Source organism: Homo sapiens, chromosome 5, assembly GCF_000001405.40.
Source record: "Homo sapiens chromosome 5, GRCh38.p14 Primary Assembly".
Classification (NCBI taxonomy): Eukaryota; Metazoa; Chordata; class Mammalia; order Primates; family Hominidae; genus Homo; species Homo sapiens.
The window spans coordinates 134,548,042-134,572,210 of record NC_000005.10 but is presented as its reverse complement, the minus strand read 5'-3'; the positions used below and the strand labels follow the sequence as shown (position 1 = coordinate 134,572,210).

General features: G+C 53.5%; 1 protein-coding gene across 26 annotated transcripts in view, besides 3 other annotated features; it reads right to left on the bottom strand.

Moving 5' to 3' along the window:
- JADE2 (jade family PHD finger 2) overlaps positions 1-24,169 on the bottom strand; it is a 59,219-nt gene that overhangs the window by 11,017 nt on the left and 24,033 nt on the right. For all 26 annotated transcript variants that reach the window (NM_001437916.1, NM_001437914.1, NM_001437915.1 and 23 more), the window contains 6 exons: positions 20,002-20,159; positions 12,221-12,381; positions 11,254-11,465; positions 9,844-10,011; positions 7,601-7,717; positions 5,631-6,095 (listed from right to left, as the gene is read on the bottom strand). In NM_001437916.1, the coding sequence (NP_001424845.1) occupies positions 5,631-6,095; positions 7,601-7,717; positions 9,844-10,011; positions 11,254-11,465; positions 12,221-12,381; positions 20,002-20,159 (1,281 nt within the window). The remainder of the gene's footprint in view (positions 1-5,630; positions 6,096-7,600; positions 7,718-9,843; positions 10,012-11,253; positions 11,466-12,220; positions 12,382-20,001; positions 20,160-24,169) is intronic.
- Positions 16,993-17,092: a silencer, noted in NCBI's record as "silent region_16365". NCBI's record gives its function as "represses an Ori minimal core promoter by ATAC-STARR-seq in GM12878 lymphoblastoid cells {active_cell/tissue: GM12878}" and the evidence as "EXISTENCE:reporter gene assay evidence [ECO:0000049][PMID:35858748]".
- Positions 17,163-17,682: an enhancer, noted in NCBI's record as "active region_23155". NCBI's record gives its function as "activates an Ori minimal core promoter by ATAC-STARR-seq in GM12878 lymphoblastoid cells {active_cell/tissue: GM12878}" and the evidence as "EXISTENCE:reporter gene assay evidence [ECO:0000049][PMID:35858748]".
- Positions 22,759-23,758: an enhancer, noted in NCBI's record as "H3K27ac-H3K4me1 hESC enhancer chr5:133884143-133885142 (GRCh37/hg19 assembly coordinates)". NCBI's record gives its function as "activates a minimal SCP1, AML or CMV promoter by ChIP-STARR-seq in primed H9 embryonic stem cells {active_cell/tissue: H9 hESC(primed)}" and the evidence as "EXISTENCE:reporter gene assay evidence [ECO:0000049][PMID:30033119]".

Sequence of the window (24,169 nt, the reverse complement as noted above, 5' to 3'; positions counted from 1 at the left end):
TCCGGGGGGCCACCCTGGGCTGCAACCACCGGTCCCACCCTACTGGGATGAACCACCTTCCTGTCAAAACTTGGACCTCCTGAAAACCACCTTCCAACCAGCCTCCTTCCCCCACACCCTTAAGCACTGGCTACAGCTCTGTGGACTTGCACTGTGTGGGGCCCTGGACTCAAGTGAGCAACGCCGCTGGGGCCCCTTTCTTCTCAGGGGAGGTAGGTGCTGACCAACTACTGACAGGACCAGGTGGCTCCGACCCACACTTGGGGGTGCTGAGCAAGGCGTCTTGGACACACAAGCAGCCAGTGGGAGTGGGAGTTGATCACACGGCAGGGCAGAGCCTGGGAACGAGGAATCCAAGCCAGGCCAGGCTGGGGGAGGCAGAGCAGAGCCTCGTGGCAGGAATCTGAAGGGAGCAGTGAGGAGTGTCGGGGCTGGCAAGGGAGGAGGCCAGGTGCTGAAGCTTGACTGAGCCAGGCCAAGGGAAGCCAGGATTGGATTTTCTTTTTTTTCTTTCGAGACGGGGTCTCGGTCTGTCGCCTAGGCTGGAGCGCAGTGGCACAGTCTTGGCTCACTGCAACCTCGGCCTCCCGGGTTGAAGCCATTCTCCTGCCTCAGCCTCCCACGTAGCTGGGATTACAGGTGCCTGCCACCACACCTGGCTAATTTTTGTATTTTTAGTAGAGATGGGGTTTCACCATGTTGGCCAGGCTAGTCTTGAACTCCTGACCTCCTGATCCGCCCACCTTGGCCTCCCAAAGTTCTGGGATTACAGGCGTGAGCCACCGCGCCCGGCCCAGGGCTGGATTTTCACAGAGTAGTGAGACACTTCCCTTCTCCCCTTAAAACCTCCAGTGGCTTCTGTACGGGATTGAATAGTGTTCCCCCAAATTCATTTTTACTGGGACCCTTGCAATGTGACCTTATTTGGAAATAGAGTCTCTGTAGATATAAATAGTTAAGATGAGGTCATACTACATTAGGGTGGGCCCTTGATCTACTATGAGTGGAGTCCTGACACAGGTGCCTACAGGGAGAAGGCCATGTGACCTGGCAGAGGCAGAGGCCAGACAGATGTCCGCAGGCCAAGGAACAGCAAAGATTCCTGGCAACCACCAGAAGCTGGGAGGCACGGAGAGACTCCCCCGCAGAGCCTCCGGCAGGAACTAATCCTGCTGACACCTCAACCTTGGGCTTCCAGCCTCCAAAACCATGAGGATAAATCTCACCATCCAGCTGGTGGCACACGGGCAGGCCTAGGAAACTAACAGGGATGCTGGGCATGAGATGCCGGTGGCCTTTAAAAGGGACTTGGTGTGGAGCTCAAAAGGGAGGGGCAGCCAGCACCCCCACGTGGGGCAAAACTGTGGGCAGCCGTGAAAGACAGTGGAGCCTGAGGTCTCCAGCCCTGGGAGTGAGCAGTCAGGGGAGAGCAATGGATGACCATTGAGGCCAAGGAGCAGCCAGAGAGGGAGGGGGGTAAACCAGGACCTCAGGGGGGACCTGGTCAGAGCATCACAGAAAAAGGACTCCAAGACTAAGGGCAGGTCTGATTGTGGCAGCCGCTGCTGAGAGGATCGGGGGATGGAGAGGTGGGCAGGGAGGCTGCAGGCAGCCCAGGTGGCAGGCTCTGGGATGTGGCGGAAACCCGGCCAGAGTGGGCAGCAAGGATGCAAATACCATGAGGGATGACAGGAAAGGAGAGATGGGGGTGGGAGCGGAGGAACCCACGACTAGAGGGAAATAGGGAGGGAGGATTCGCTTTTGAAGATGAGAGAGGGTTGAACAGATTCAAATATTGGTGGAAAAGGACCCGCAGAGGGGATGAAGAAAAGACAGACTCGTCAGCTGCAGGTGTGGGCTGGAAAAGAGCCCCTGTGGGGGAAGGAAGACAGGAGGGAAGGGAAGAGAATGGACCGAGAGGCTCGGCTGGCAGAAGTTAGAGGCCCTGGTATGAGGACAGAGGGGACGCTGTCCTGAGGGAGGCAGGGCTCAGCATGTGGGCAGCAGGTATGAGGTGGGGTGTGCGGCAGGGACTGCCCTGCTCAGCGCTATGGGATTTCTCCTGGTGGAGGGAGTGGCTCTTACTGGGTGAGGCTCTGCCAGGGTTCTGGCCTCAGTGAGGGACAAGGGCTGGGGCATAGCAGGCCAGTGCCATACAGGGAGTGAGTGAAGAAAGCAGGACAAAGAAGGGTGGAGGGCCTGGGAGACAAGTGAGCAGGGAGAGCAGTAGACTGCAGGCACGGAGCAGGATGTGGCAATTTCTGGGCTACTGACCTGGGAGCAGCTGGAGGTGGTGACTGGGCTTGGGTGAGGCAAGGGCACTAATGGGTTGGGGGAGCCCTAGAGATGGAAGGCACAGGGGCAGAAGAGCCAGAGGTCTGCAGGCTGGAGCTGCCCAGGACAAGGTTGGCTTTGGTGGGAGGCCAAAGGGACCACCATCCAGGCACTGAGGCCAGGACCCACTTCCTTCTGAGCCTTTCCCTCCTTGGGAAGTTGTCCCATATCATCCTCTGGGCAGGTGTGTGTCTCAGAGCCGCCTCCACCCTCTTGGCCTCCTCCTCAGGCCAGGTCAGGCTCCCAAATAAACTCCTGGTGACCAGAGCCAGAGCCACAAGCAGCAAGTCCCTGCACAGCCTGCTTGTCAGCACGGTTGCTAGGGGACACCAGCCGGCACTTGTCGGGCTGATCAACAGTGCTGCGATTTTTGTCAGCCGTAAATAACTCTGGGAGGCTGCAGTGGCCATGCCTTCCGAGCGTCCGCTGGGGCCGAGGCCCAAGGCTGAAATTTTAGGAAAGCACATCTGGTTGACCATAAAATGGGATTTCATGCCGGCAGCAGCCCCGGCTCCTGTTTCTCTCAGCAAAACCCCTGCCTGGCTGAGGAGGAACGAATCAATCTGGGAGGATGCTGGGTTCCCAGGCCCTAGCACTGGGCCTGCCCTTTTGGTCCTCTGTGGAGCCCACCCTCAGAGCGCACGGGCTGGCCTCCCTTCTTCTAAGAGCCAAATGCTGAGGGGCCAGGACAGTAACAACAATCACGGCCAACAATGGAGGGCACTGTGCTAAGCTTTGTCCCCCACATGCACTGTGACCCCAAGGTCAGTCTGATCCTTATTCCCATTTTACAGACAAAGAAACTGAAACTCAGAGAAGTAGAAACTGAAACAAAGAAGGTATAGAGCTGGGAGTGCAGGAACTGGATGCAAAGTCAGGCTACCAAGGCCTCGACCTCAAGCCCTGCCCCATCTTCCGATGATTCCTGCCCAGGCTGGCTTAGTGCCCAGTTACAGGCTGGATACTCCCGGCTGCTGGCACTGGGCCACGGTCCGAGACTGGGCCCGCTGGCCAGGCCACCAACCACCATGGGCCTTTGCAGAAAGCCTGCCCCGTGGCAGGGTTCTTGTCGCTGTTCATTCACCCAAGTTGCAAATGTGTGACCTGGAAAGGCCTTGAGGCTGGGCCGCTGATGGGGGTCAGCTTGGCTCATGGTTGTCCCTCCTCGGCCCTGCCAGGGCTGTGCATGCCCCTGCCCTCATTGAAGCTGGTGCCCGCCAGCCCAGCTTGGTGGCTGCTCAGAAAGCAGCATTTGACAGGGCCCCCTGAGCCGTAAGAGGCTGCACATACTTCAAAATTGGCCCTGCTTCCTCTTCCCAGAGGAGGAGTGGGACGGTTCACACCTGACTCTGGAGTGTTCTGGCTCCCACTGCAGGAGTCTCTGCAGCAGCTCTCATTCCCCGGAACCCCAGAGCCCGCCAACCTCAGCCCCAGGCTCCACCTGAACCAGCCAACACTGGGGTGGGAAGATTAGGGGACTGAAAAAGGGATGCTTTTGCCCAGGAAATTTACAGAATAGAGAATAAGCCAACAACTCCTTTTCTGCCCCCGACTGAGGTCCAAATTCAAGCTCAAAACCCTTGGAATGGAGTTCCTCTAAGACTTCCTGTTATTCGTCTCTCCGAGCCCCAGTTTCCTCATCTGCTCAGCAGGGCTGGGAGGATCTTCCTCAAGTCTCTTTTTCCAGGATGATGACTACATAAGTGAGTCAAGCCCTTGACCTCCCTGGACAACCCAGCCAGGGACAGACACATGGGCTGACCAGCACAGAACAGAGAGGTCAGTTCTGAGGGGTTGTTTGGGAAACAGTAGGAGTAAAAGCAGGTGTTTCCACTGGAGATCCAGCGGGTGGAGACATGGTGGCCTAAAGAAGACTCTGGAAGCAGCTTCGGTCCCAGAAGGTCTTACACCTGATGCCCCTGCCACATGTGACAGGAGGCTGGGCTGGCCAGGAGGTGGTGGCTGCAATGTAGGTAGCCTTGCCCTCTGTCCTGGCTGGAGCCAGGGACATCTGGTTCCTCCCACCTCCACCTCTTCCTTCTGGCCTGGTGGCAAGCTGGCTGCCAGGCAGTGAGGGCTCTCTGGGGGCAATAGGTCATTTCCCTCTTGAGCAGGCAGCGCAGATGAGTGGGAAGGAGGGGATTGGGGAAGCTGGGTCCAGTGCCCCTTCCCTGACAGTACAACACCCCTGGAGATGTTCTACCCATTTTACAGCCTTGCCCACTGCGATGCAGATAAGAAAAGCAGGCGCCTTGGGTCACACAACGTTCCCTGCATGCTCCTGCCCAGGGCTATTTCCTGACAGGACCCAGGGAGAGGGTGAGCATGTATGTCTGAACCCAGGGGAGACACTGTGACACGGTCCCATATGCTCTGGAACCCTAGAAATGTCCCAGAGAGGAGAGACCAGAACAGCCTGTGGGGTTCAGAGGACTGGAAAAGGATCCAGAAATCCTGCTTCATTTCACTCAGCCCCCTGGACCAAGCCACCGTCACCTGTTTCCCAGCACACAGCTGGGGGTGGTTTTCAGCCAGCCCACCCATTCCAGACTCTGGGACTTCTCCTCCAGGGAGTGTTGGGTGCAAGTCCCAGCCACAGTATGTCAGTCCCTCCTTAGCACTTCTGCAGCTTCCAGACACACTGTGATCCACCAGCCCAGTCTCGTGCGATCCACCAGCCCCTTTCACCTCTTCCTTCCACTCCACCGTTCCTTGAGTCCACCCTGTCTCCTTCGTGCCTCTGTTCTGTTTGCCCAGCACCCCACGGAGCCGCGTTTACCCATCTACCCTGCCCTGGCCCGGCACGTGCCTGTTTGGCTGCTCCTGGCTCTTGATGCCCCTGGCTTTCAGCATGGGTTACGGGGACAGCTTGGGAAGCTCCAGTTCCTCCTCTGCCTCAGATTCTCAATGCAAGCTCATGTGTTAGGACCAGGCGGGGCCCACAGAGGCAAGCAAGTGCCAGAAGCCTAGGTCCTCGCCCTAGCTCTGGTGCTCTCAGCCTCATGACCTTGGCAGGGCCCCCACCATTCACCAGGCCTGTGACAGGGCTAGGACAAGAGGGACTCGGAGACTCAAGAACTGGACTCTTCTCTGTTCTGTAAAGTGTCAGTCACCCCCATACTCTTTGGGACCTGAAAGCCCTCAGCCCCTTGGCAGGCTCCTGCAGCAGGGCCGGTCCACCAGAGCTCACAGTTTGAGTCCTGGTGAGTCCTAGCTGCTCCAGGGCAGTGAGTGTGGCATGGAAAGGACTCCTGGACCCACCAGGCAGGGGGTGGGCAGGCGGCATGGGGACTCACCCTCTCTAGGTCCTGCCGCAGATGGGTGAAGAGCTTCAGGCGGCGGTAGAGGACGTCCTGCTCCTGCTGGGCCAGGTTGTCCACCTCGTCGGTCTTGGGGGTCAGCAGCGGCTGGTTGGCATTGGCTTTCCTCTTCAGCTTCCAGTACTGGTAGATGAAGTCGACCAGTGCCTCAGCCAGGTCCAGCCGCTCAGCCACCTCAGCCGGCTCCACCAGCTCGTAGAAGTCCTCCTCTAGCTGCTGCAGCCGCTGCTTGCGCAGGGTCACCTTTTCCAGGTCCTCGCCAGCCTGGCTGGGTTCCGTGGGCTCAGATGTGGGCTCATTACGTGGGCCCCCGTCACTGTGCTCCTGGCAGAATGACTTGAACTTGACCTCATCGTTGTCTGCTAATATAGTCCGCATTTCCAGGCCGTGGTCAAAGGCGCATGTGACATGGAACGCTGTGACGCAGGAAGGCATGGAACACTGAGGGGAAAGGAGGGGCAGGATCAGACATGGAGGGAGCCTGGTGGGAGGGGAGAAGACAGAGGGGCTTCCCCCAGGGCTCTACTGAGAATGCGCAATGCTGGAGAGAACCTAAACAGAATGGCATGGGCTCCCAACCTCCTGTGCAGGATGGGAGTTACGGCAGGGGAGGAGGAGGAGCTCTGGGGTGCCTGGAAAGGTAACCCATTCAACACCACATGCTTTGGGGAAGTCAATCAGAAGACGGTTGAGAAACACCTCTGGGGACAAGCTGCATTTTTTTTTTTTTGAGACAGAGTCTCACTCTGTTGCTAGGCTGGAGTGCAGTGGTTCCATCTCACCGCAACCTCCGCTTCCCAGGTTCAAGCGATTCTCCTGCCTCAGCCTCCCAAGTAGCTAGGGCTACAGGCATGCACCACCTAGTTTTTGTATTTTTAGAGATGAGGTTTCGCCATGTTGGCCAGGCTGGTCTCGAACTCCTGACCTCAGGTGATCCACCTGCCTCGGCCTCCCAAAGTGCTGGGATTACAGGCGTGAGCCACCGTGCCTGGCCTCAAGCTGCATTTTTGTGTGGGCAAAATGACTTTGGCATCACAGAGCATCAAGAGAAAGGCTGATGATGGGTCACTGGCTCATCTAAGATGGGGACTGTGGTCCCCTTTTTGTCCTCTGGGAAGAGGGGCTGGACTTAGTCCCCTTCCCTCTCCTTTCATCCAGACAGCTTGAGGCCTGACCCTCTCTCTTAGCCTTGGATGATGATAACTGTGTCAGCAATCACGCACCCAACTATTATGACTGCTGATGCTGCACTCACAAATCCTTTTGAAGGTCCGTGGATGGGTGAAGGCACAACTAACGTTTACAATGACAACTCTGTTCCTAAAAGATGAGGGGGACAAAGGATGACTCCCCCCTGCACTCCCAAACTATAGACCTGAGGCATCAACATCCCTTGGGAGCTTGTTAGAAATGCAAGTTCTCAGCTTCACTCCAGACCTACTGAGTCAGAGCCTCTCAGGAGTAGGCCCAGCAGTCTATGTTTACCAAGCCCTCCAGGTAATTCTGACGCATGCTAGACTTTGGGAATAGGCTTTGCTAAAGACAGACTGGTACAGCCCTTCCAGTGTCAGGACAGTCTATTAGCTTAGCTAGATGAGAAGTTTGATTCCTAACCCCTAACGCGTCAAATTCAATGTCAGAAGTGAGGCTAATGTATTCATCAAGCCCCAAGACACTTGCTTTCAGGGAAAGCCAGAGTTCTCAGCACTCCAATGGGGTGGTGAGCCTTGGTTCCCCGGGTCTGTTCCCACTCCCTAGAAGACCAGGGGATGGAGAAATGCTCCCCAACAGGTGCGATTCTGACTCTGGCCCCAGTCCCACACCCCTCTGGGGCCCATCAGTCTGCAGCCCCATGGAGGGGAGAAGGTGGTGGCAGCTGCTGTCTGAGGCCCCAAGCATGCCTCTCAGCCAGCTCCTGGCAGCAGGAGGTGAAGTAGGCCACATACCTGGATGCAGGTGCCTGTGCATTCCTTGCAGAGGCTGCAGGACAGAGCCCAGCGGCTGGCTGGGATATGCGAGATCTTGGTGATGGGCTCCATCTTCTCTGGGCAGCCGATGCTGACCTGGGCAGGACACAGGGGGCTGCATCATTCCTCTCATCCCCAGCCTGCCTCCAGGGATCTCCAAAATGGGGGTTTGTCTGCTGAAACTAGGTGGTGGGCAGACAGGGCAGTGGCTGAGCCCCTGAATCCCAAGTCCCTCCTGACACCAAACAAGCATGGCTCAAAGGCCGGAATTCCTCCTCACTCTCCCAAGCTCACCACTGGATGAGTGTGTTAGTGTGTGCTCATCTGAGACTAATCTTAAATTGTCTGTGAATGTGTGAGTGTGCCGTCAGTGTGTGTAGTTGACTGTGTGTATGTGCTTAAGACTGCGTGGGCCTTGACAGACAGGTGCTTTGGTGTGCGCATAGGTACATGCAAGATCCTCCTTCTTTCTGCACTCAGGCCTTTGTTAATAACATCTTCAGAGTTCTTGTTACGATTTGTATTTGTATTACTTATTTTTCTAGGCACCAAGAAAAGCCTCATTGTGGGATCTCCTCTTGAAGGTCTTTAGGGCTCTCCTGGGGATATGCCTTTGCTGAGCCCTTCCTATGGGGACAGCCCTACAACTATGCCCAAGTCTACTGGGCAGAGACCACCCCACAGCCCAGAGGCAGGGCACATTTGTCTCCCCATTGCTAATGCCTGAGGATGGAAAAAGCAATTCTCTCCAAAGGTCCTGAGCCAAAGGGTCTTCATGATGGAGTCCCTGTTGGTTCTGTCTCTGCCATGCCCAGCCCAGGGTACACTCAGAGGTGGTCCCAGTCTTCAACATGCTGATCTGCAAGCAAGTGCCTACTGCTGACACAAACAACTGTTATCACAGAAGCCCGCATTGTGGGCTTCAGACTGTGAGCCCAGGAAGGAGAGTGCCACTTATGGACAGGGCCACCTGGCTTGCTTCTGGGCACAGGCAACACTGGAGTGGGGCCTCAATCTGAGTCAGTCCACACAGCAGGGCTGGGGCTGAAACTCTGGTGCATTTCAACATTTCACATTTCAAATAAAATGGCTGGCCTGCCAGGCACCCAGGACCTCTGCTAACTCACTGACTCTGGACCCAGCCTGTTGCCCGTGGCACTCCCACATGGACTCAGAAACACACCCACCCCACCATCCTAGCCGCAGCCATAGCAGCAGGCCCACTAGCCAACTTCCCATTAGGCTTACCACCTGATTCTCTTTTTTTTTTTTTTTAAACAGTCTCATTCTGTTACCCAGGCAGGAGTGCAGTGGCGCGATCTCGGCTCACTGCAATCTCTGTCTCTCGGGTTCAAGTGATTCTCGTGCCTCAGCCACCCAAATAACTGGGATTACAGGCATGTGCTAAGCCCAGCTAATTTTTTTTTTGTATTTTTAGTAGAGACGGGGTTACCATGTTGGCCAGGCTGGTCTTGAACTCCTCACCTCAAGTGATTCACCCACCTCGGCCTCCCACCCGATTCTCTTTGAAGGTCAGCTGGCTTATCTTTGTTTTGAACATGTGGCTTGACTTTGGTTGGAACAACTGCTAAGGTTTAGATGGACCCCACAACCTGCTTTCCCCTCTAGTCAGCTGCCTGACTTCTGTCCAGACCTCATCCCTATCTCCTGAAATCTCCTAGCGGTCCCTAACCCCATTTTCTCATAGAAGTCACCACCTGAGCTCTGTCCAAGTCCACAAGCAAAGCTCCCTATAGCTGCGGCCTGGATTCTTTGCTGGCCCATCACCTGAGATCCCAGTGTGTGCTTTGTTTTGTTTTGTTTTTCAGACGGAGTCTTGCTCTGTCACCCAGGCTGGAGTGCAGTGGTGCGATCTCGGTTCACTGCAACCTCCAACTCCCAGGTTCAAGTGATTCTCCTGCCTCTGCCTCCTGAGTAGCTGGGACTACAGGTGCCTGCCACCATGCACTCCTAATTTTTGTAGAGAGGGGGTTTTGCTATGTTGGCCAGGCTGGTCTTGAATGCCTGAACTCAGGTGATCCACCCACCTCGGCCTCCCAAAATGCTGGGATTACAGGCGTGAGCCACCGCGCCCGGCCGATCTCAGTGTTTTAGTGCGAGTCCATCACCTTCTTTTCCCAGTGCTCTGCTACCTGAGTCCCATGCAGACCCACTTCCCCACGGGCTATTCCTTGGGCTGCCTCACCTCCACGCTCACCCACCTCAGGAATCCATAGGGCACAGCTGACATGCACCCACTTGGTCCCACTTCTAGTGGGCTTCAAGGCTCCTCCTCGCTTGGGGCAGAGCAGGCACTTTGGCTGGACACCCAGGGCACACGTCCGGCACAGCCAGCTGCCCGTGGGCACCTTGAGGATCCCGTAGCATGCCTAGGAGAGAGCAGGGTGGTCATGAGTCAGCGGAACTGGCCAATCTGTGTCTGGTCAGCAGTCAGCTGCATTTGGTCCAGTGCCAGCCCCATGCTACACTGCTACACAGCCTCCCATCTCTGGCACGTACAACTTCTGAGGAGTTACAATGCAAGGAAGGAAGGAAGGGCTCCTGGAAAGCCCTCCTTGGCCTGCTTGTATGCCTGAAATGCCACCATTTCAGTCCTCTGTGAACGGGTTCAGGTCTGCCCTCTGCTGGGAGGAGAGTCAGTTTAGCCGGAGGTTCCTAACCAGCAATAGACTTAAGGAGAGTCCAAGAATCCCTTTAAGTTGAATACAAAATTGGGTGTGTACTTCCTGGAAACAAGTCCCAGAGCCCTCATATTTCTTACACAGGGACCCATGAAGAAGGTTGCACCCCTCTATGGCTTGGGTGAGACACATGAACCTAAGAGCTGCTGGGTATAAGGGATGTGTTTGTTTATATGAGACTTGCACTGCCCACCTACCTGCCAGCCTGGCAAAGTCCCTACCTCTGAGCTCCCCAGGGTCAATTCCAGCGATGGTGCATAAGGGCAGCCTCAAAATCAGGGCCAGAGTGGGTCCACTAGGTCCCAGTCAGGTCTGCAGTCAAGGCCCAGAGATACTCAAGACCTAGAGCCTTGGGCCCCAAACCAAGGGGAGCCTGGCCAGGCTGCACTGGCACATAAAGCCAGTAATGGTGACAAATACATATAGCCCTTACTAGACTGTTCTAAGCAAAGACCCACAGTAAACAATTTAATCCGTGCAACAATCCACTCTTATTTATGCATAACTGAGAAAACACAGGCCCAGAGAGGTTACAAAACTTGCCTAAAGTTACATAGCTTGTGAAGGGCAGAGCCACGATTTGAAATCTGGCAGCTTTGCTCTCAGTCACAGCAGTGGGCTGCCTTTTAGTAAATTCAGGACATGAGGAGCAGAGGAGGAGGGGCAGGGACAGGGCACAAGGTGGAGAGGGTCTGAGGGAGGCTGATGGGACAGTGCAGAAAGCCAATGGGCTCTGGCTTGAGTCTGGCCAGCAAGTCTAAGCCAAGGGGCCCTGGGTGCACATGGTACCATGAAGCATCCTCACCATTCCCTTCCTCCTCCTTCTTAAGGGCTTCTGTCCACAGTGCCCCTGGAGAGCCAAGTGGGGGTCGCTGCCAGGCAGCGTGTGTATACATGGCACAGGTGAGGGTGACTGGGGGGTCTGCCCACCTGATGCACACAGACGTTGCACTTGTCACAGAAGACCATCTCGTTGCCATCCTCGCCCTCAGGAGAGCGACACACGTCGCAGACAACATCCTCGTCGTACTCGATGCCCAGCCCCTCCTGCGTCTCAATGGCCCTGGCCATATTCTGGTGGCACAGGGTCTCCAGCTCCTCCAGCACACGCTCTAATGTCAGCTCGTCCAGCTCCGGCCTCTCTGTGAGGAGGACAGCAGGGCATGGTGGTGTTAGGAGCCCAGCCTCCTTTGAGCTTTGAAGAGGACTTGGCTCCTGGAGTTGCAGGAATTCAGGGCAGATGTCTGGGAGGGTTTCTGCCCACCCACTGTTGGACCTGGGAGAAGCAGCTCCATCCTCTGAAAACTGAATGGTCTGGACCATCCCATCTCAAAGGCCCCTGACCTGTCCTGGAGTTCTGACTTTAGACAGCCTGCCTGTGACCACAGGGACACATGTGTACAATTAACATGGAAGTGTCTCTGGGATGCGGCCAGCTCCACGGAGAAGGCACTGCTTGTGCTGTGTGTATGAGGGGACCTCTGAGTGTGGCTGAATAGGGTCGAGTTAACCCTTCCTGGGACACATTATTGGGCTCCAGCCAGGTGGCCCACACCTCCTGACCCCAGCCCCATTTGCCATCCTGACCCTAGCCCCATGTGCCATCCTAGCCTCCCCTGCATGCTCACTAACTCTTCATGTAACATTCATGCTTACCACTATAGTCCCAAGAGCCCTGTAACTGATGTGCTATTATTGCCCCCACCTGATAGCTGCAGAAACTTCAGGTGGCACAGAGACACTAACCAGTGAGGTCCCCATTCAGTAATGCAGTATGGAGACTCCCTCCAGATCCATGCCATACCATAGCCCTGCCTGGGCCACTGTCCCTCTCGGGATGGGGAGAAAACCCTCCCTGCCCAGCCGTGATCCCATTCTTAATGCAGTGGTCACCTACCCATCTCCTTAAGCTCCGAGTTGATGAGCTCCAGCCAGTAGGCATCAATCTCGTCCAAGTCATAGCGGCTGCCCCCTGGCCAATCAGGCTGGGAGCCCTCACCAAGCATGGTGCTGCTCGGGGATGCCTGGGCAGGGGGGCCTTCCAGTGGTGGGAGGATCCTAGAAAATCAAGACAGGATGTCATGAAGGGAGGGGCCCTCAGCCTGCCGCCATAGGGGCTCCAGGGAGCTGACCAGTCCAGCTCAGGAGCTGATGGACAAGTGTGCTTTGACACCACACAGGGCCCACCTCCTTCCACCCCCTCCTTCACTTCCTCCTCCACCATCTGCCCACCCTGCAGAGACTCAGATGACTGTGGGTGAACAGGCAGTACACAGAAAACCCAAAGGGCAGTAGGGCACAGTGGGGGATGGGAGTCAGGGCTGATCCGCAGCCTTGCTTACCCTATAAACATCCACCTGCCCAGAGCTCATCCCACTTCCTGCCATCAGGGTAGCGGGGCCTTAGCTAAAGCCCAGCAGTTTGGATCTAACACTGCTAGGGCCTGTAAGAGGTATCCTATGTGCCATCATGGGCAATGCCCTGTGCCAGCAACAAGTGAGGTAGTGCCAGCTGGATTCTAGGTCCTTCGGCATACCCTTCAAGGCTGCGGACAAGGCAGGGGTTGTCTACGTACTCTCAGAAGCCCAAGCCCCCTTCTTACCAACAGCCTGAAAACTCCATTGACTTGAGTAGAACTGAGGCCACGTCTCCTCTGGTGTCAGGAGGAGCCCTACCTGGTTACACGGCTGCGGCCCAGGGTGACCCTTTCCAGACAAAAGGTCCACATGCCACCCTGCCCTTCTCCCAGATACAATGTCATGTGAGCAGTGAGTGTCCTGCTACACAGTGTTACCCGGCCCCAGGACCAAGACAGAGGCCAAATCCCTTGGATACAAAGATGTGCCTGCTGCAGTCCCAGGATCCCTCCCCAGCTCAGCCTTCCTTTGTGGCCACAGCTCTGCCGCTGAGGCAGCTTGGAGAGGCCTGCCCGCAGGGTGTGGACTCAAAGCCCAGCTTCACCACTTATTGTGTGACTCTGGGGAAGCCACTAAACTTCTCTGGGCCCCAGTGTTCCCATCCCCCAAAATGGGTTAATAATAATAGTACCAGGCTGGGCGTGGTGGCTCATGCCTGTAATCCCAGCATTTTGGGAGTCCAAGGCGGGTGAATCACCTGTGATGAGGAGTTCGAGACCAGCCTGACCAACATGAGGAAACCCCATCTCTACTAAAAATACAAAATTACCCAGGCGTGGTGGTGTATGCCTGTAATCCCAGCTACTTAGGAGGCTGAGGCAGAAGAATTGCTTGAACCCGGGAGGCGGAGGCTGTGGTGAGCAGAGATCGTGCCACTGCACTCCAGCCTGGGCAACAAGAGCGAAGCTCCGTCTCAATAATCATCATCATCTGGATTAAAGATTTAAACGTTAGACCTAAAACCATAAAAACCCTAGAAGAAAACCTAGGCATTACCATTCAGGACATAGGCGTGGGCAAGGACTTCATGTCCAAAACACCAAAAGCAATGGCAACAAAAGCCAAAATTGACAAATGGGATCTAATTAAACTAAAGAGCTTCTGCACAGCAAAAGAAACTACCATGAGAGTGAACAGGCAACCTACAACATGGGAGAAAATTTTCGCAACCTACTCATCTGACAAAGGGCTAATATCCAGAATCTACAATGAACTCAACCAAATTTACAAGAAAAAAACAAACAACCCCATCAAAAAGTGGGCGAAGGACATGAACAGACACTTCTCAAAAGAAGACATTTATGCAGCCAAAAAACACATGAAGAAATGCTCATCATCACTGGCCATCAGAGAAATGCAAATCAAAACCACTATGAGATATCATCTCACACCAGTTAGAATGGCAATCATTAAAAAGTCAGGAAACAACAGGTGCTGGAGAGGATGTGGAGAAATAGGAACACTTTTACACTGTTGGTGGGACTGTAAACTAGTTCAACCATTGTGGAAGTCAGTGTGGCGATTCCTCAGGGATCTAGAACTAGAAATACCATTTGACCCAGCCATCCCATTACTGGGTATATACCCAAAGGACTATAAATCATGCTGCTATAAAGACACATGCACACGTATGTTTATTGCGGCACTATTCACAATAGCAAAGACTTGGAACCAACCCAAATGTCCAACAATGATAGACTGGATTAAGAAAATGTGGCACATATACACCATGGAATACTATGCAGCCATAAAAAATGATGAGTTCATATCCTTTGTAGGGACATAGATGAAATTGGAAACCATCATTCTCAGTAAACTATCGCAAGAACAAAAAACCAAACACCGCATATTCTCACTCATAGGTGGGAATTGAACAATGAGATCACATGGACACAGGAAGGGGAATATCACACTCTGGGGACTGTGGTGGGTTCGGGGGAGGGGGGAGGGATAGCATTGGGAGATATACCTAATGCTAGATGACACATTAGTGGGTGCAGCGCGCCAGCATGGCACATGTATACATATGTAACAAACCTGCACAATGTGCACATGTACCCTAAAACTTAGAGTATAATTAAAAAAAAAAAAAAAAGTTATTTTCAATGTAAAAGACTGAATTTGAACACTTTTAAACATAGGCAACATAATCTAATAAAGAGCATGGGTTCTGTCTGAAAAAAAAAAAAATAAAAAAAAAAATAAAAAAATAAAAGCTTGAAAACAACAACAACAAAAAAAATAATAATCATCATCATCATCATCATAATAACAACAATAATAATACCTACTTTATGTGGTTGGTGAGAGGATTAAATGGATTAAGTTTGCAAAACTCTTAGGAAAATGCCTGACACACAGTAATCACTGTGTGTGTGTGTGTGTTTGTGTGGTGTGTGTGTGTTTTATGTGATGTGTGAGGTGTGTGTGTGGTGTGTGTGTATGTGCTGTGTGATGTGTGTGTGTGCATGTGGTATGTGTGGGGTGTGTTTTGTGTGATGTGTGAGGTGTGTGTGTGGTGTGTGTGTATGTGTTGTGTGCTGTGTGATGTGTGTGTGTGCATGTGGTATGTGTGGGGTGTGTTTTGTGTGATGTGTGAGGTGTGTGTGGTGTGTGCGTGTATGTGCTGTGTGATGTGTGTGTGTGCATGTGGTATGTGTGGAGTGTGTTTTGTGTGATGTGTGAGGTGTGTGTGTGGTGTGCGTGCGTGTGCATGTGGTATGTGTGGGGTGTGTTTTGTGTGATGTGTGAGGTGTGTGTGTGGTGTGTATGTGTTGTGTGATGTGTGTGTGTGTGCATGTGGTATGTGTGGGGTGTGTTTTGTGTGATGTGTGAGGTGTGTGTGTGGTGTGTGTGTATGTGTTGTGTGATGTGTGTGTGTGTGCATGTGGTATGTGTGGGGTGTGTTTTGTGTGATGTGTGAGGTGTGTGTGTGGTGTGTGTGTATGTGTTGTGTGATGTGTGTGTGTGTGCATGTGGTATGTGTGGGGTGTGTTTTGTGTGATGTGTGAGGTGTGTGTGTGGTGTGTGTGTGTGTTGTGTGATGTGTGTGTGTGTGTTGAGACCTTGGGATGTTACCCCTCTCCTGAAATGGAATATAGGGGGCACTTTGCCTCAGGAGGGCACGGTTTCCCCTTGGCTCAGCTGTGTGCTGCCCCTCAGTTCCTGATGCCAGTTCAAAAAGCCAGCTCTTCCCACCCCCCGCTGGTTGCCATGGTTATTGCTTCGGAGCCTGGCCTCCATCTGGCCAGCTCTGCCAGGGCGGGGAGGCCCCTTACTTGAGAGGCATCCTGGGGTCGGGGGCAAGGCTGCCAGAAGCTGTGACTCAGCGCTGACAGGGAGGAAGGGGCAGGGCTTTAGATGGCACAGAGACATGGCAGAGCTGTGGCGAGGGCTCCTGGGCTTCCCCATCACCACACCCAATGTCAGCAAAAAGGGCAGGAAGGATGAAGGAGACGGGGAGGCAGGGGCCCAACCCGGCAGAGAGAATGGCCTCCGAGCCAGGAGGAAGGCCTATATAAGGTCGAGGGGGCACGGAGAAGGGGAAGGGGCTTGGCACCACCTTTTCCCACACAAGAGGCCCACATGAAGGAAGGTTCTAGGTCATTATCAGGGTATGACCACACCCCACACTAACAGGTGATTCCATATGGAAGCAATACTAACACACTCGGTCCAACACAATTCTGCCTTTCCCCATGAAACTGTTACTTAACAAACACATTCTTTTAAAAATGCAGCCTGTAATTTGGTTGTGAACCAGCTTTGATTGTGCCCTAAGCACATGCTGAGTGGGGGTGTCCGGATGCCCACCACTTCCTGGCATAACTACCCACATCTGCTTGCCTGGTCAGCGGCCACCTGGCCAAGCCTCTTGGGATCAAGATCACTGTGCTCCTTCTGAAGAGCCAAGGTGAAGGGACTCACAATCAGAAGGTATCTGCTGTCCTTCCTGGGTCTCTCCTCTTCATCTGTTTGCCCCCTTCTGGCTCTGGCTCTGAAGGAAGCTCTCCTACCAGGCATGGACTGACCTGACCCTAGGCCAAGGCCTCACCCTCAGCTGTAGCCAGGACGGCGGAGGTCAGCTGGGAGGAGGGCGTCAGCTGGCTGGGATCTATGGGAGGGGAGGGGGTCTTTACCCTAGAAGACCAGACACACACCAGAGGTGGGTTCTGCCCTGGCTGAGACTTCTGGCCCCAGTGAGGGGCAGGACAGGCCCTCACTCAATTCAGTCTGGAGAGGGGCGAGACAAGTGCTCATTGTTCAGACAGATTTCAGACCATGAGGTGGGCAGACCCACCCAAAGGCCAGGGAGGGAGGGACAGAGGGGGCCTGGGGTGGCAGCTGGGGGAGGGCAGCCAGAACCAGCATGCTGGGATGACGGGGGCACAGGGCTCTGTCTCTGGGCCTCACAGGGGCAGCCCAGGGCTTGTTCTCGGGGCCTTTGATTTCCTGGCCCAGCCCACTAGGCCCCGGTGGCCATGCAGGGAATTCCCCAGAATTTCCCGACTTCCTCATCTATAAAATGGGGACAGTTACATGCAGTTTGTAAAGCTAATATGATTGTTAAATGAAAAGATGAACACAGGCTCAGCATAGCAAGTCCTCAAGAACAGGGTTTCTCTAACAATTCTGACCCGGGCAGCTACCAGGCAGCCTTCCAGATGAGGGCTGTGCAGTGGGAGGTGCCAGGAGGATGCAGTGGCTGGGCCGGAGGGAGATAGCAACAGAAGAGGCGTGGAGATGTCTCTAAGGGAGCACTTCCCCACCCCCAGTCCATCCTCTCCAAAGATCACGGACAGGCCAGGAGTGCCCAGCTCACGTCAGCTTAGCACAGCCATGCCTATGCTGGGAATGCACCTCGTAAAGTCAAAGCAGCCGGAACACGTGCCCTCCTCTTGATGTCAACAGATAAAGCACCCTACAGGCAGACTGAAGCCAAGCTACTGGTGTGGAAACATCTGCAATTAATTACCCAGGCCAGGAGATGTTTCCGGAACCAAATGACACTGACATCAAGTAGAGAGGACAGACCGCTGGGCCAAGCCTAATCAAGACTGACCTCGCTGTGCCCACCTGGTGGCCTGACCTTCACCCCTTCACCCTAGGCACTGGTATGTGTGGCAGTGACCTGGCATGCATATTCTCACTTCTGGAGAGGCCTGGGGCACCCCTGATTCTCCGAAGACCCCAGACAAGTATTAATAAACACTCAGCCATCAGGAGTCACTGGAACAGGATTGCCTGACCCCTCCCCTTCCAATCCCCACAGATCACCCTATTGGGGCTTCGAGTCTGCTGTGCCTATGATCCAATCAGATGCAGCTGCCACGAAATGAGGGTGCCAACGTCAGGGGAGGTAACAGCTGTGATCTTTGCCCCAGGCCTGGTCTACATGGGATCGAGCAAGAGCCACAAGGTTGCCAAGGCCAGGAGTAGACAGCCAAAACCCCAAGCTGCCCAGACCAGGCAGACTGGTGGGTGGGGGAGGCCAGGACACAAGACCCCTCTGCCCTGAGACATGACTTGGAGGGTTTCCCAGGTTGCATAAAGAAGCACTTGGCTGAACTCCGTAGCTGGAGGCAAGACCCAGGGCCATGTGGCCTCCTCCTGACAAGAGCGGCCAGGGGTCTCTCTGCCTCATGAGACCAGAAGAGTATAAAGCCCAGAGGACTCATCTCTGAACCAGCCCTGGCAGGGGAACCTACCCAGAGGCCGGTAATAGCAATGGCTTCCTGAACATCTGCTGTATGCCAGGCACTTGACTCCCCCTCTAAGAACTCCCGTAAAAGGTTCAAGATGTCAAAAGCATGGCTTACGGCCGGGCGCAGTGGCTCACGCCTGCAATCCCAGCACTTTGGGAGGCCGAGGAGGGCGGATCATGAGGTCAGGAGCTCGAGACCAGCCTGGCTAACATGGGGAAACCCCACCTCTACTAAAAATACAAAAATTAGCCAGGCGTGGTGGCACGCACCTGTCATCCCAGCTATTCGGGAGGCTGAGGCAGGAGAATCGCATGAACCCGGGAGGCGGAGGTTGCAGTGAGCCAAGATCGCACCACTCTACTCCAGCCTGGCGAAAGAGCGAGACTCCGTCTCAAAAAAAAAAGAAAAGAATAAAAGAAAAAAAAAAGCATGCCATATCTCTCTCTTAAAGACTAGTGAAAAGTCTGGAGATTTCCCTCATCAGAACTGCTTTGGGACTGGGCATGGTGGCTCATGCCTGTAATCCCAGCATTTTGGGAGGCTGAGGCAGGAGGGTTGCTTGAGCCCAGGAGTTAGAGACTAGCCTGAGCAACATAGCAAGACCTTGTCTCTACGAACAATCAAAAAAATTAGCCATGTGTGGTGGCATGTGCCCATGGTGGGAGGATCACTTGAGGCTGGGAGGTCGAGGCTGCAGTGAGCTGAGATTGCACCACTGCACTCCAGCCTGGGTAACAGAGTGAGACCTTGTCAGAAAAAAAAAAAAAAAAAAAAAAAAGGCCAGGCCCAGAGGCTTACGGCTGGCTACCTGCAATCCCAGCACTTTCGGAGGCCAGCCAAGGCGGTGGACAGATCGCTTGAGCCCAGGAGTTCAAGATCAGCCCGGGCAACATGGCAAATCCCCATCTCTACACAAAACATGAAGATTAGCTAGGCGTGGTGGCATGAGCCTGTAGTCCTAGCTACTTGGGAGGCTGAGGTGGGAGGACTGCTTGAACCTGGGAGGTCAAGGCTTCAGTGGGCCAAGACTGCACCACTGCACTCCAGCCTGGGGGACAGAGTAAGACCCTATTTCTAACAAATAAAAAAAGAAAGAAAAAAGAACTGCTGTTGGGCCCAGTTTGGATCAACATTACAGAGTGCTTGCTGTCTGCCAGGCCTGGTGCCAAGTGCCTTCCATGCGTCATTTCATTCCATTATCTCAACATTACAACTGCATGAGTAGGTTAGTTATTGTTAGCATTCCAATTTCATAGATAAGGAAACTGAGGCCCAGAGAGATTACATTTCTGGTCTAAGGCCACACTGAATATGAGTGTCAACAGGAACGCAAGCATTCTGGCTCTATAGCCAAGCCCGAGCCCAACCCCCTAGCCTCTCAGTTAAACCACCAGTATTTCTGGAACATTTCAATGGTTTGTTGGAAAAGGGAATGGAATACAGAATAGAGATGGACTAGAAAGGAATTCCAGGACTGGCAGGTCACCTAACCTGGAAAGCAGCCTCCCCTTCCTCCCCTGTCCCAATGGCCCCCTAGCCTGGGCTGCCTGGCTCACCTCACCACGGGCTCTGGGATGGCCTCTGCCCCGGCAGGCACCTGCACACCTTTCTCCCATTCCTGTCGCCATGGGTCTGCCAGGATGTAGTAGTCATCCGGGCTGAGCTGGTATGAGTCCGGGATCTTCATGGCTGTGATCAAGTCTGTCCGGAAAACCTGTGAGGGGCAAGAGGGGAAAGAGTGACTTCAGACTGCCTCAGGGCAGTCTGCCCCACAGGCCAGAGGAAGAGGCAGATACATGCAACTCAAGTGGACATTCTGCCTGCGCACTTAGAAATAAGACGAAATAAAAGCAATCAGCACAATAAATAACATAGCTCTGAACTCTGCACATGTTTTGCACATAGTAGACGTTCCATAAATGTGATTAACTGAATTCACACTGCTCTGACCTATTAAAGGACAGAGTTTGAGGGATAGTTGGGAGTGGACCTATGAGAGAAAGAAAGACTGGCAGAGAAAGGCAAAAATCAAAATAAAAAGAGGAAAACCTCAGAGGACAGAGAGGCTAATGTGAAAGCAATACTGATGGCCGGGCATGGTGGCTCATGCCTGTAATCCCAACACTTTGGGAGGCTGAGGTGGGATAACTGCTTGAGGCCAGGAGTTCAAGACAGCCTGGGCAACACAGGAAGATCCAGCCTCTACTAAAAATTAAAAAATTAAAAAAAAAAAAAAGGGCCAGGCAAGGTGGCTCACACCTGTAATCCCAGCACTGTGGGAGGCTGAGGAGGGAGGACTGCTTGAATCCAGGATTTTGAGACAAGTCTGGGCAACATGGTGAAACCTCATTTTTACAAAAAATTTAAAAAGTAGCTGGGTGTGGTCGCACATGCCTGGGGTCCCAGCTACTCTGGAGGTTGAGGTGGAAGGATTGCTTGAGCCCAGGAGGTTAACCCTGCAGTGAGCCATGATTGCACCACTGCACTCCAGCCTGAGTGACAGTGAGTCCCTGTCTCAAAAGATCAAAACAAAATAAATAAAATAAAATAAAATAAAAAATACTGCCATTACGTGACTGTTCAAGACATTTCCACTGAGGTTCACAATCATGTTATCTATCTGCACCCCCAGACACAAGTGGAGGTATAAAACAGCACAGGGCGCCAACCCCAGGAAAGGCCTTATGCAAACCTTATGCAAACAGCTGGGGGACGGCCGGGGCTTAGGGCAGCCTAGATAGTGGCTTCACATGAGCTGGGACTTCCAAGGTCCCTCAAGAACAAGGACACTCTCCTAACTCGACCGGCTTTGTGTGTGTTGGGGAAGGGGGGGTAGGAAGGCAGGAAGGAGAGGGTTGTCTTTGTTCTTAATCAAGCACATCCAAACCCCTCAGAGCAAAGCCATGAGTGGTCACACCCTGAGCACTTGCTCACTTGGGGCAAATTGCTCTTGCCAGAGTTTTGTCTGCTGCTCCCACCTCCACCCCCAGTTCCACCTCAGAACAAGCTCTAAACTCTGCCTGGGCTGGCACTGGCAACGCCTCCTGCCCCAGTCACCTGATCCCACTGCGTGATCCCCCCACAAAGCGCTATTGTGGAATGTGGTGGCACCTCTAGACACCATGTGACTTGCTCAGGTACCAACTTTCCCAGTGATCACCGTCATTTGAGAATCACAAGTTAAAGAAGAACTCACATCACTGAGACAAGAGAAACCACTTCAAGGAGTACTCCAGGCCTGAGACCAAACTCCAACCCCACATTCCTCCCTGGAAAAGTCAGCATCCACCGCTGTGCCCGGTGCTAAGTCAGTTCACTCAGCCTTCTGAAGGCTCATGACAGACAGATTCAGCAGTAACCTCTGCCTGCTATGTGCACCTCATTTGAATCTAGGTCCAAAACCACAAGGAGAACACTGGAATGGATGGACTGAGGGGCCTGGAAGCAGCATCTTGCAGAATCTAATTAACGTCTGCATCTAGATGGAGACAGCCCTGGCTTGAAAAAGGTCAAGTTTCTTGAAGACTTTACTTGCCAATATAATTTAATTGTTAGGACTAACACCCTAACATTTAATTAGGGTGCCAGTGTGAAAAAATTAAAACCAGATTACAATTAAATGCTAATTAAACAGAAGATGGAATGTGGCTAAGATTTCACAGCCCAGATAATTTGCATATCTTATTAGCAAGTAGTAAGACAGTTAATGCAAAAGGGCACACTCAGGCACTGCGTGCTTTTAGGGGGCCCTTCAGTAGGGGCCTGTGCCAGCGAAGGCCTCTGGAGACTCTCCTGAGCTCAGTAGGGCTGGGGCTGGGTTATTTCCCTGTGGGCCCCAGCACAGGACCTGGCAAGGAAGAACTGACCCCAAAGTGATTCATAACTACCTCAACGTTCTCCCCACCCAAGCAAGCCAAGTGCTGCATCATCCCAAGCCCTGTTGCTCTGAAGCCATGGAGAACCACACACTTGGGACAGTGCATCATTCTGCCCCAGAAATCAACCCTACAATAGCCCAGTGTCACTATGTGCCCTCTAAAGAGGCATAGGTGGGTTAGAAACCTTTTGCTGTTCTCTCATCCTGGGCTGTAACTTTTTTTTTTTGTTTTGAGACAGAGCCTTGCTCTGTTGCCCAGGCTGGAGTGCAGGTGCACAATCTCGGTTCACTGCAGCCTCTGCCTCCTGGGTTCAAACGATTCTTCTGCCTCAGCCTCCCAAGTAGCTGGAATTACAGGTGCCCGCCACCTTGCCTGGCTAATTTTTGTATTTTTAATACGGGGTTTCACCATGTTGGCCAGGCTGGTCTCGAACTCCTGACCTCAAGTGATCCACCCACCTTGGCCTCCCAAAGTGCTGGGATCACAGGTGTAAGCCACCCGCACCTGGCCTAGTTTTTATATTTTTAATAAAGACAGGGTTTCACCATGTTGGCCAGGTTGGTCTTGAACTCTTGACCTCAAATGATCTGCCTGCCTCAGCCTTCTAAAGTGTTGGGATTACAGGCGTGAGCCACCGCGCCCGGCCCTGGGCTGTAACTTAACTGTCGCCTCCTCAGGGATTCCTTCCTGATCACCAACTGAGGGAGTGCCAACTGCCTGACTGAGCCACTTTCCATCTCACCCCTGCCTCATTTTCTTTCCAGCACTTACACTCCTGAAAAGTACCTGGTCGACTCACATTGCTGGTTTCTTGTCATCTCCCCTGCCATGCCTTGTCCTGCTGTCGGCTATATTCTCAGTGCCTGGCACTGCATACGAGGGCCTCTCTGGGGAATTTTCTGATGAATCTGAGGCCCCTAGCTGGCTCCTGGCAGTGCTTTCTGAACCCCCATAAGCAGGATGAGATACCTCATGGATATACCCAGTGGCCAAAATCCCCAAACACATGGACCTGAACAAGCGCCTCTGAGCAACAGGCAGCCTTTGTTCTGCTGGGCTTTAAGCTCAAGGACCAGCATTCAGCCCAGGCTGGAGTGGGTGAGACCAGAGTGTCCCACCACACCAGCTGGTAAGATGTGGTCCAGACCCAGAACCAGGCCTGGCACTGAGAACTCAGGGCAGGAAGGGCTCCCAGGGTCAACTTCAGAGTCCCTTCCCACTACAGTTAGGGAGATTGTGGGAAGACAAAAGAGTCTCGTTCCAAGAGAGTTCCACGTTTCATCCTGGGTCATGCAGGGAGCAGGTGGCAGACTGGACACTACGGGCTCTAGCAGGCAGGAATCATGGACGCACAGGGAGGGCAGCACTGTCTTAATGGTGTCAGCCCATGCTTGCAGAGACTGTGTGCAGAGTGACAGTGTAAACGCTGTTCCTGAATTAATCTATTATTAGCCCCTCCACCCACTCTGTGAGGTAAGTACTACCATCATCCCTATTTTACAGTTGAGAAACCTGGGACTCGGGTTAATTAAATCACCCACCCAAGGTGTGCGTGCTGGAAGTGGCAAATGAACCCAGGCCAACACAACTCCTGCCCCTTTTGGCCATGTGCTCACTGCCTAATGCCCTTGAGTTAACTTGATGCCAAATCAGGTGACTTCTCCAAGGGTTGAAATATGCAAATCCGACTGTGGTCTTTGCAAGTTCCGAGGCCTCCAGTCGCTCTCCACTGTCCTCCCACTGTGCCCACACTGAACTGCAGAGCCAATGAGGCCCTGTGACCACACGGATGCACTTGCAGTCTCCCAAGCACATTTAACCCTTTGCACACGGGAGAACGCTGCCT